This window comes from Homo sapiens, chromosome 11 (genome assembly GCF_000001405.40).
Source record: "Homo sapiens chromosome 11, GRCh38.p14 Primary Assembly".
Lineage (NCBI taxonomy): Eukaryota > Metazoa > Chordata > Mammalia > Primates > Hominidae > Homo > Homo sapiens.
The window spans coordinates 7,935,449-7,947,103 of record NC_000011.10 but is presented as its reverse complement, the minus strand read 5'-3'; the positions used below and the strand labels follow the sequence as shown (position 1 = coordinate 7,947,103).

At 41.6% G+C, this 11,655-nt stretch overlaps 1 protein-coding gene across 1 annotated transcript; it reads left to right on the top strand.

Moving 5' to 3' along the window:
• The first annotated feature begins 5,395 nt into the window (after positions 1-5,395).
• On the top strand, positions 5,396-9,933 carry OR10A3 (olfactory receptor family 10 subfamily A member 3). The gene is made up of 2 exons (NM_001003745.2): positions 5,396-5,517; positions 7,406-9,933. The coding sequence occupies exon 2, from the start codon at positions 7,584-7,586 to the stop codon at positions 8,526-8,528; it is 945 nt and encodes a 314-aa protein (NP_001003745.1). The 5' UTR covers positions 5,396-5,517; positions 7,406-7,583; the 3' UTR covers positions 8,529-9,933.
• The last annotated feature ends 1,722 nt before the right edge of the window (positions 9,934-11,655 follow it).

The following is an 11,655-nucleotide window of genomic DNA, read 5'->3' as shown; positions in this document are numbered from 1 at the left end:
TTCTTTACCCTGGGGGACAGCAAATATTTAAAGGACATGTATAACTGTTGAGACTTTCATGTCTAAAATGTTAACTGTTTATGTATCATACCACTCCTGTCTGACCCTTACCATCCTGCTCTCCAAAGTATACATCATATTACAGTGTCCAAAGGGAATCCTGAGAGGCAAGAGCACTGGGTATGCCTCTTCCTGGTAGAGTGCTTCTTCATCAATTGCTATTTTTAAAAAAATTATATATATTTGGATTTTGATGACAGCAAGATAGCCCTCTAAAAGTCCATAGTGCTCGTCCTACCCATCCCCCACAAAGATAGCCAAAACAACAAATAAACCACTATAAACCACTACATTTTGATAAAAATAACTAAAGGAGAGCACCAAAGTTTATCAAGGGAGCCACAGAAACCCTGGGTGGGCAGAGAAACTCAGGACAGCCACACAGAGAATGGAAGGAAGCACCTGGGCCCCATCACCCCATTTGCCAGCTGGGATCAGCTTGGAACCAGTAAGGACTTCTCCTTGCAGGGAAAAGGCAAGCAAGGTCACCTCAGCAGGCCCCATCAACACCTCGGACACCTATAGTCCTCAGTGTTATGGACTCTTGTAGTCCTCACAGGCACTAAGCCCAGCTAAGAGAGCTGCCTGGAGTCCATAGCTATACCTGTGCTCCCCTCTGTCACCAGTGGAGTTGACACTGTGCCCTGTGTCCCAGCCCCTGTCTCAGCCCCTGACTGTGGCCCATGCAGCTATGCATTACAATGCTGTCTTGAACCTGGGAATACTGCTGGAGTGTGTTTTGCTTTGGGGGTGAGTGACCACAGCACCCATTCACCCCTGAGGCTCCAAACTACCCCTACCCAGTGGCCCAACATCTGTAACCAGTGAGCAGCTGTACCTACCCTTCCCATTTGCTGCTGTACCTCACCCCTTCAGGCTGGAGCTGAAGCTGCATACTCCCTCCCACAGAAACAGTGCTTTGGCAGACCTGCCCATCTACCCTTTCCAGTTGTTGCTGCACCTTCCCCCTAGGAGCCTGAGTTAAAGCTGCTCATCCACTCCTGAGGAAATGTTGCCTCTACAGAGCTGCTCCAAAAACCTCTCCAGCTGCTGTCACGCTCTGCTCCACAGGACTTGAGCTGAAGCTATGTACTACCTCCCAGGGAAACAGTGCTTTGGTGAAGTCGTTCCATATACCCTTCCCAGTTGCTGCTGTGTTCTGCCCCTCTGTGTGTGAGCTGAACCAGTATCCTGCTTCCTGGAAAAACAGTACCTTGGCTGCTCAGAGCAGTCATGCCTCCCTGGAGCCTAAGCAGAAGCATGCCCTGCATCCTGGGGAAATGGTGCCTGGGCCACCCAGAGTGGTCATGCCCCCAGTCCTTAGCTGAAGTGACACATTGCCCCTGGGGAATTGGTGCCTAGGCTGAGTAGCTGTACATATCAAGGCTTAGCTATATTAGTACCCTGCATCCCAGGGAAACAGAGCAGTGCCTGAGCTTAGACACCATGCTCTGGAGGCCAAACAACTCAAGTACCCTACTCTCCTGGAGCTGGACTAGCCCCCTAGGGCATGAGCTGCTGAGACACCCCTCATTCCCAGGAAGTAGAGTCATCACTGTGCTGCTCCCTGTCCCCCAGGGCCCAAACAACAGCTGTGATCCACCATTCTGGAGTCTGCACTGTCACTACACCTGCCTCACAGAGTCTGGGATACTCCCACCTTCCCAAGGTCTAGAGTTACCACAGCATGATTTCTCATCCCCTGGGACCTGAGTTGCCACTGAACTTTATTGGTTCTGGTTCCCAAATTGCAGCTGTACCATGCTGCCTGGGCCCAAACCTCTGAAGCACCCCTTCTTCCCCAGAGCTAAGCCAGTGTTATGTCCTAATCTCCAGGGTCAGAGTCATAGATACAACCTGACTTTCTAGGCCTCAGCTGCTAGGGGATGCCTCAGAGTCACAGATACTGTTGGCAGTCTATATCCAACCCCACTACAGAGGGTGAACCTGCACATTAAGACCCAAGCTGGTCACACAATAGGTTCCTGAGACCCTGAGCTTAGTACTCCAGCTCCACAGATGCTCTGAGCACATGCACCTGGAACCTAGCACTGCTGCAGCTGCGTGTAGGCCATGTCAGATCTGACACCAAGAGGAGACACCTCAGCTACCTCTCCCCATTATGGGAAAAATGAGAAAAGGAGGACCTCCAAAGCCCTTGTTACTGAGCACCTTAACAACCCATGCCACCATTGCCACTGCCACAAGCTTCTACAGGCCACAACACTGAGGCACCCACAGTTATTGCTGATGTTGATTGCAGTTGAAGAAATTGCACAGAGACTATACTACTACATCTACTCAGAACCAGAGTCACTACACCTTTCTCAATAGCCACACAAAGACACAACTGCAGGTGAAATTCCTTTTCTATGAAAGCCCCTCTATAAAGTTTGGAAGATGCAATTTTTCCACCAGATGCAGAGACATAAATGCAGAGACACAAAAGACATGAAAAATAAAGAAATACGACACCACCAAAGGAACACAATAACTCTTTAATAACAGATCTCACAGGAAAAAAGATCTATGAGTTGCCAGAAAAGGAATTCAAAATAACGATCCTAAGGAAACTCAGTAAAATACAAGAGAATACGTATAGAAGATTCAACAAAATCAAGAAAACAATTCATGATATGAATGAGAAATTTAACACAGTGACAGATATCATAAAAAGAAACCAAACAGAAATCCTGCAGCTGAAGAATTCAATGAATGAAATAAAAAATACAACAGAGAGCTTCAATAGCCAGACCAGATCAAGCAGAAGAATGAATATCTGAACTTGAAGATCAGTTGTTTGAAATTAGCCAGTGAGTGAAAATAAAAATAAAATAAGTAAAATAGAATGAAAAAGGCCTATAGGACTTATGGGACACCATTAAGCAAACAGATATTTGTATCATGAGAGTTCTGGAAGAGATGGGAAAAGGCATAGAAAACCTATCAAACAAAATAATAGTTAAAAACTTTCAGAGTCTTGGGAGAGATATGAAGACCCAGATCCAGTAAGCTCAAAGTCCCCAAACATATTTAACCCCAAAAGATCCTTCCTGAGGCACATTATAGTCAAACTGTTAAAAGTCAAAGATAAAAAGAGAATTCTAAAAACATCAAGAGAAAAGCATCAAGTCACATATAAGGGAGTCCTCTTTAGACTTACAGCAGGTTTCTCTGCAGAAATTCTATAAGCAAAGAGACAGTCATATTTTCAAAGTGCTGAAAGAAAATAATTGGTGGCCAAGAATACTATACCAAGAAAAGCTATCCTTCAGAATGGAAGGAGAAATAAAGTTTTTCCCGACAAGCAAAAACTGAGGGAATTCATCACCACTAGACTGACCTTTCAAGAAATTCTCAAGGGAGCCCTACATACAATGATAGGTCCAACAATACCACCATCGTAACACCCTCCCCCACCCCCCAAAAATTGTTGCTGTTCCCATTGCCTGCTGATGGCACTTACTCTGTTGCTTTGCATCTTAGGTAACAGACTCACAGGAAAGAAGATAATTTCTGTATATCACACTTCCCATTTCCCACTTCAAGGGTTTCAATGGATTTTTCTTTTTTTTTGCATGACTCAGGGGACTGGGACATCTGTATAGGCTCATAACAATGCCTTTACAGTCAGGTTTTCAGCTTGTTCAACGAAGGGATTGTCAATTCTGAGAAGACTTCTTCATTAATAGAGTGTGTGACTATTTGCTCCTTGACTTATTTTACGAGGGTAAGTATATCCCTTTTCCCCTCACTCTTGGACTCAGGAACCAGTTCCAAAGGTGTGCAAAGCCCTTGAAGTGATTTATTTATGGACTTCCCTGTCCATGTTTCTATTTATTCATCCTCTCTTCCACAAACATTTGAAATCCTGTCTTCTTTATGTAACACATTCATATCCAGGACTATATATTACTATTTATCCTCTACAGTATACATGATTTTTCTCCATTCATTACATCCTAGTTCTACTTCTGTCCAGTCCATCTTGCAAAAATAAATAATGCAACATTATTGTTTCTCAGCTTTCATCTCACTTCCTTGTATTCATATAATAATTTAAAGGATACCATGCTTTATGTATAGAGCATTTGTGTGTTGAATCACCATCATTCTTTGACCTCCTTCTCCTATAAACAGTACCTTGGGGATTTTTAAAAAATTAAACATTTTCAGGTATGCATAGTTAGAATTGATGCTGTACCTGGTTATAGGATAGAATGCCATGAAATTTGCATATTAGGTAGCATTTCTCATCTCATTCACAGTCACAGTGTCTGGTTTATAGGTGGATAGTCATGTAATCCCACCATAGTAAATGATACAGGAGGGGTTCTTGGATTAGTTTTTACAAATAAAAACCCTTTATCCTCAGGATAACTGGTACATTGCCCACTGGATACAGAGAGGATCTATCCCTAAGTGTTGTTAGCAGCCTTATTGACACTAAAGGGAAAATATTCATTGAGAATAGAACCTACTCTAGGAAAGCAGAGATGAGAAATAGAGAAAAAAAGAAATCCAGGTCCTGGAAACATTATCTGAGTTCTGGATAAAGCCAAGCCTACAGATTTATTCATCCCTATACTTTGCTGGAACTGAGCTAATAGTCTTATTGATTGCTCAAATCAGTGTGAACTTAACTCTGAGTCCTCTGATTGTTACATATACTTTGTGAAGTTAATAACATTATCTTGATTTTATCAAAAAAGTAATAGAGCCAGAGAAGAGACATGATGCTCAAAGTCATATTAGTTCAGATGTTTTGACTTCAAGTTAAAAAGTTTCGACTATAAAATTATCTAAAAGACTTTCCCCCAAAATTTAGTATTTCCATATTACTACTAGAAAATATAAGTTTTGGTATCTCCAGGCTTTCCACAAAGTAACTTCAATTTACTTGCCATAACACATTTCCTACCATTGCACAAACTGTCTATCTTGTCCAATCAGATCCTCTGTCCAAATCACTCTGCCTTTACTCACGCTCACATTCTTTTCTCCCTTCTGCATTTGTGCCTATTTATTAACATTCATTCAGTCTCTGCTTTCATTTCTTAATGGGAAAGGTCTTGGTGGAATTGGGTCTCTCATGTGAAGAGGTGTTAATTCCCTATGGAAACCTGGAAGAGTCGTATTCCAAGTTTGTGCAGCGGAGATTCCTTGCCCCCATACAGGAAAGTCTGTATAAATTGTGTGTCAGTTCTCCAGAGAAGATTTCTCTCAGGGCATAAAATTTAATGCAGTATAATTTAAAATCAATGCATTGAATCACTAAGTTGTATTTAGGAAGTGCTTTTTAATTGAAGAGGTAAAACATAAATGGGATGAAAATCAGGGACAGTGAATAGATAAGGATCTGAAGATTCTGCTTTGGTACTTGTTGGTGGGTTTGCCTTCTGTAGTTATCCTCACTGATAATTGGAGATACTTATCAAGTGATAACTCAATGCTCAGGTAAGAAAGTCAATTGCTGTGCCCTTCATATTCACATAAAAGTTCGACAGTAATTAGATCTATAGACGGTTTGCTTGCACAAACCATCAATTCTTAGAGGTATGTAGTTGAGGGAGCGGGGTGAAAGCGGTCAGAAATAAGTCCAATTGGTTAGAAAGATGAAACCCTGATGAGGGAGTTATTTGCCCAAGATTATACAGAAAGTTAATGCCAGAGCCAGTAGAACATATCAGTGAATTAGCTAAATCAGCATTATGTTGTTTTATGTTAAAGGGAAAAGATGGAGCATTTAAGTTCAGCTTAAAAAAATTACTCATGAAGGCAGTAATTTAGATTTGTTTTGTAACTTTGCTTTATCAGCTCCTTAAAAGTTGCCCATTTTTAGTAGGATACTCTAAATTTTCTCATTTTACAAACGTATTTGGTTTTATAGGCCTGGAGCTGAAAATGTAGTTTTGTCTATTAAAATGATACTTAGGCATTTTTTTTTCCTGCCAAGTCTATTTTAGGAGATTTTTTACATCCAAAAAATTTTGTTATAGTTAAAACATATATTTGGTTTTTAATATCACTATGGTCAGACTCAATAAATCAATTGCCTTTTCCTCTCTGCTAATGTCCTAATGATATGAAATCAAGATGTCTTCAGCTTGCTGTGTCCTCTCCTCCTGGCTTCCTCTTGTCCCACAGTAAAATTCTGCTGGTTTTTGAAGCATCACACAAAGTCCAGTTTGGAGGTCCATGCTAGTACTAAGGTGTCATTGAATACCTTCTATCTGAGCAAGGCAGCCTTCCTCCTTATGCTTTTTCTCCTCTGCTTAATGGACCTTCCACCCTTGTCATCTTGTGATTATGGTTTCCCACCCTCACTGTCCATTCAGAAGTAATGTTTCCCTCATTTACATTCCTAAAGCAATTGTTATCACTCTAGTTCCCCTTAAATGCCAGCCTGAGAAGTGGGCATTGTATTTTACTGATAAGGGGAGACTCTGAAGTTTCTCGGAGGGAGGGTGATATTATTTTGTCAGAAATTTGAGGTACAGATTGGAGGAACGGGTATAAAACATGGAATAGCCAGTTAGGTTTCCGTTTAAAGGTAGAGGAGGTGAAGGGAGAGGAAAAGAGGCAGTGAGGTGGAGCGTGTCAGCGGGGATGGACTCGTGAGGCCAGGAGGACTCCAGATTTTAAAGACTTGTGGGCCCTGACAGTGAAGGGAATACTGGGAGACAAGGATTGTTGCTCTGGTTGAGAGCAGAGAGAATGAAGTCGCTTTGCCCTGAGAGTGGCTCTGGAGGGGCAGTTGGATTGGGAAGAAAATGGTCATCTCCGCATGGGACTGGCAGGCCCAAAGTGACTCAGGCAGCATGTGTGCTGCCTATGTGCCCACCCACCACTACTCCATGTTCCCTTCAGCCCAGCTCCCATCTGATTGGAGTTGAGGCCTTGCAGCCTGCAGTTTTCTATCAACAAATTAGAGAAACACCTATGTCAGAGCCAGAAGGGATCATTCTGCTGCTTCTAACCCATACAGATGGGGAACCCAAGTGCAGCAGAGGCAGAGACCCATCTTGGAGACAGTGGCAGAGTTAGGACTGCAGCCAAGTTCCAGACTAGCTCGCAATCCAGGCGTAACCAAAACTCAGGTTCAGTTGCTCTTTGCTTGAAGAATCCAACTAAGGGAAGAGGTATAGGCTCCTGCCTTTAAGGACACTGCTTCACTTTTTGGAAAGAAAGCAGAGGCTTTTAAAGGGGAACTTGGCATTAAGAGAGGAGAGAGAGAGCAACCTACAAAACAAAGATGTTGCCAGATAACATTTACTGTTATTTTGTACTTTAAAAACAAGATTTCTGAACCAAAATACTTCACTTCTTTATTTGTATTTTAAAGATTCACTATTACAAGTCATTGGCCATTCTTCAAAAGTGCCAACCTGAAGTTCTGTCAAAATGAGCTTGTCATTACATCTGCTGTCAAGAATTCCAGACTTGAACTCACAGCTATGGGATTACGACTTCATACTCGATATACCAGGTCCATAAAAACAATATAAGTTTCAACTACTGAAATGAAAAGACAAAATCAAAGCTGTGTGGTTGAATTCATCCTCCTGGGCTTTTCTAACTTTCCTGAGCTCCAGGTGCAGCTCTTTGGGGTTTTCCTAGTTATTTATGTGGTGACCCTGATGGGAAATGCCATCATTACAGTCATCATCTCCTTAAACCAGAGCCTCCACGTTCCCATGTACCTGTTCCTCCTGAACCTATCTGTGGTGGAGGTGAGTTTCAGTGCAGTCATTACGCCTGAAATGCTGGTGGTGCTCTCTACTGAGAAAACTATGATTTCTTTTGTGGGCTGTTTTGCACAGATGTATTTCATCCTTCTTTTTGGTGGGACTGAATGTTTTCTCCTGGGAGCGATGGCTTATGACCGATTTGCTGCAATTTGCCATCCTCTGAACTACCCAGTGATTATGAACAGAGGGGTTTTTATGAAATTAGTAATATTCTCATGGATCTCAGGGATCATGGTGGCTACTGTGCAGACCACTTGGGTATTTAGTTTTCCATTTTGTGGCCCCAATGAAATTAATCATCTCTTCTGTGAGACTCCCCCGGTACTAGAGCTTGTGTGTGCAGACACCTTCTTATTTGAAATCTATGCCTTCACAGGCACCATTTTGATTGTTATGGTTCCTTTCTTGTTGATCCTCTTGTCTTACATTCGAGTTCTGTTTGCCATCCTGAAGATGCCATCAACTACTGGGAGACAAAAGGCCTTTTCCACCTGTGCCTCTCACCTCACATCTGTGACCCTGTTCTATGGCACAGCCAATATGACTTATTTACAACCCAAATCTGGCTACTCACCCGAAACCAAGAAACTGATCTCATTGGCTTACACGTTGCTTACCCCTCTGCTCAATCCGCTCATCTATAGCTTACGAAACAGTGAGATGAAGAGGACTTTGATAAAACTATGGCGAAGAAAAGTGATTTTACACACATTCTGATTGTGTTGAGAAGCTGAGTAAGATTTGGCCACTGCCTGAGTGAACTCTATTTAAATTTAATAAAGGGTGAAAACAGACTGCATTTTTTGTATGACTATGTAAGTTTGTTGAGTTTTTTTATTGGAAAACGTATCTCAATAAAGAACTGCTGTCACTTGTTTTTAGTAGATACATATGTTCTCATAACATGACACAACAGTTTATTCATCCATTTCTCTATTATGAACATCCAAGTAGCTACTGGATTACTGTCATTTTTTTTTTTTTTTTTTTTGAGATGGAGTTTCGCTCCAGCCCAGGCTGGAGTGCAATGGCACGATCTGGGCTCACTGCAACCTCCACCTCCTGGGTTCTAGCAATTCTCCTGCCTCAGCCTCCCGAGTAGTTGGGATTACAGGCATGCGCCACCACACCCAGCTAATTTTTGTATTTTTAGTAGAGACGGGGTTTCACCATGCTGGTCAGGCTGGTCTCAAACTCCCAACCTTAGATGATCCGCCCACCTCGGCCTCCCAAAGCGCTGTGATTACAGGTGTGAGCCACCACGCCTGGCCTGGATTACTGTCATTAAGACAGTGCTTCAATAAATGCCTTGTTCCATATGCTCATATGTACTGATGTCATTATACCTGTGTGATAGATTTGCTACAGTGCGGCTGATAGGATGAGGAGTATCTGTGTTTACAAATTTTATTAGCTATTGCAGAATTACTTTTCAAAATGATTATAGTTCTTCAGACTGGCCTGAAGGCTCACTGTGCTTTGGTAACAGGGTAGAGCTTCAAGAGACCAACAAATAAGGTGATGATGTTTCTATTTTTGGATTGAAAATTTGTTCCACGGATGAGTAAAAAAAAAGTGCATCTATTTTGGGGGGCCAAAAATGGTTCTACTTCATGACCTTACACAAATTATAATCCCAAACTGGATTTCTCTTGGTATCTTTCCAAATATTTATCCAATGTTGGTGACCAGAGAGCTACATGGGAAGTTTCTCAAATTCTCATTTGATAATATCAGTATCTTTTTCATTTACAGACCACTGATTTAGAAACTTTTATGAAGTTTCCTTTTGTAGTCTGTGACAGGAAAGTAAAATCTTGGAACCCCAAACTCACTATGCCAAAAGAAAAGTTAAGCTTGGAAACTGGCTCAGGCAAAAAAATTGCCTTTCCTTTTGTTCCTAAATAGATAGCTACAAGATATCCGGTCACCTATCTTCCCAGGTTACCTCCCTCAATTGTTCTTAAAAATAATTGGAATAAAACTGATACTGTGATGTTAAGATTAGATATACATATTCTGCTAAATGAAGGGGTGTCATTATAATTTGTGTATATTATTTGGGAATAGGCAATACATATATATATCTGTGTGTCTATTTAAACTGGTTTTAGGTTTATAATTGTTAAACAAATCCCTACTGATTGTTTACGTGGTCTCTATTACATATGAAATTTGACATAAATATCTGAATTGTTTACTGGTATTATTTCAATTCATATAGAGTTGACTGAATTTGTGTTTAAGGAATTACAATATGAAATCATATCACATTAATTCTAAATGTGTATGGGTATATTTGTATATGGTCTATGCACTGATTTGTAATTTTTTTGAGGAGTTACACATTATAACTAGTAAATCTGGTTGGTCTTGGTAAATGAGTTCCACGTTGCTTGGGCTTTTGCATAGCCTTTATCTCTGCTGCCAGGCCACTTTGTTCTTGTGGGCATCATGCCAGCACTGGGGTGGTTGCTGACAGAAGAAGTAGGCTAATTTGTCAACTGGGTGAGTCATTTTACCTACTGACCAGGTGTTAACACAAGATACAAAGACCTTCACACTTTATGCCCACTCCATATGCCTATCAATATGCCTCTACCCTAGACCTCCCTGCTGCCAAACTCCCTTTCTTTTCTTTCCAGATCAGGTCAATAAACTTTCACTTATCCAGCCTTGCCTACCAGCCTCCTGGTCCAGCACCCTCAGGACAAGTACCATGGTTCTCCCCTTGTTGGTGAAGGTCTGTTAGATCTTGCAGTTCTTTTGTGGTATTGTTCCATTCTTTCCTTATTTCCCTGGCTGAGCTGTGCTGTGACTTAACCATATTTATAGGCCTGGTGTTGAGGAAAAGAGGGGAAGGCAGTTTCTGATCGTGCGCCTCTTCGATAGTCTTCCTGCCCTGAATAGGGAGGGGTTGGTCACTTCTGCAGTGTTAGAAAGTTTAGTGATATCTTTGAAGTCCAGATCTTTGGAGGCATCCACCTAGAATTCTTATCCCATGTGTCAAAGCCTTAGATTTTTTCCAACTCTGGCTCCAGATTTGGCTTAACATAGCTACCTTGATTAAGCATGCAGGTATCATTGAAGTTCAGCCACTGTGACTACTGAACCCTGAAAATGATCTCCATTTTTTCTGCCTGCTTGTTGCAAGAGATGAGGACCTCTTTGTGAGTGACTGACACTCTGGTTCTCACATTTAATTTTCAATGGTTTGTCAATTGACTCATCTTTTGTTATCTATCTGAAGATCAATGCAATTGTAGTAATGTTTTAGTCTGTTAGCATTGCTGCAAAGAAATACCCGAGACTGGGTAATTTACAAAGAAGGGAGATTTATTTAGTTCATGGCTCTTCAGTCTGTACAAGAAGCATGGTGCCAGCATCTACATCTGATGAGGACCTCAAGCTGCTTCCACTTATGGCTGAAGGGGAAGGAGAGGCAGAGTATAGAGATCACACAGTGGGAGAGGAAGTGAAAAAAAGAGAAAGAGGGAAGGTGTCAAGCTATTTTTTGCAACCATCTCTAGCAGAACTAACAAACTAAGAACTCACTCACTCCCCTCATCACCCCAGGAAATCAGTCTATTAATAAGAGATCCACCACCATGACCCAAACATCTCCCACTAGGCCCCACCTTCAACATTGGGGATCAAATTTCTTTTTTTTAATTATTATACTTTAAGTTCTAGGGTACATGTGCACAATGTGCAGGTTTGTTACATATGTATACATGTGCCATGTTGGTGTGCTGCACCCATTAACTCGTCATTTACATTAGGTATATCTCCTAATGCTATCCCTCCCCCCACCTACCACCCCTCAACAGGCCCCAGTGTGTGA

What these genes read in the sequence shown, in the direction of transcription:
- OR10A3 (NM_001003745.2), top strand. Translation starts at nt 7,584, where the DNA reads ATGAAAAGACAAAATCAAAGCTGTGTGGTTGAATTCATCCTCCTGGGC.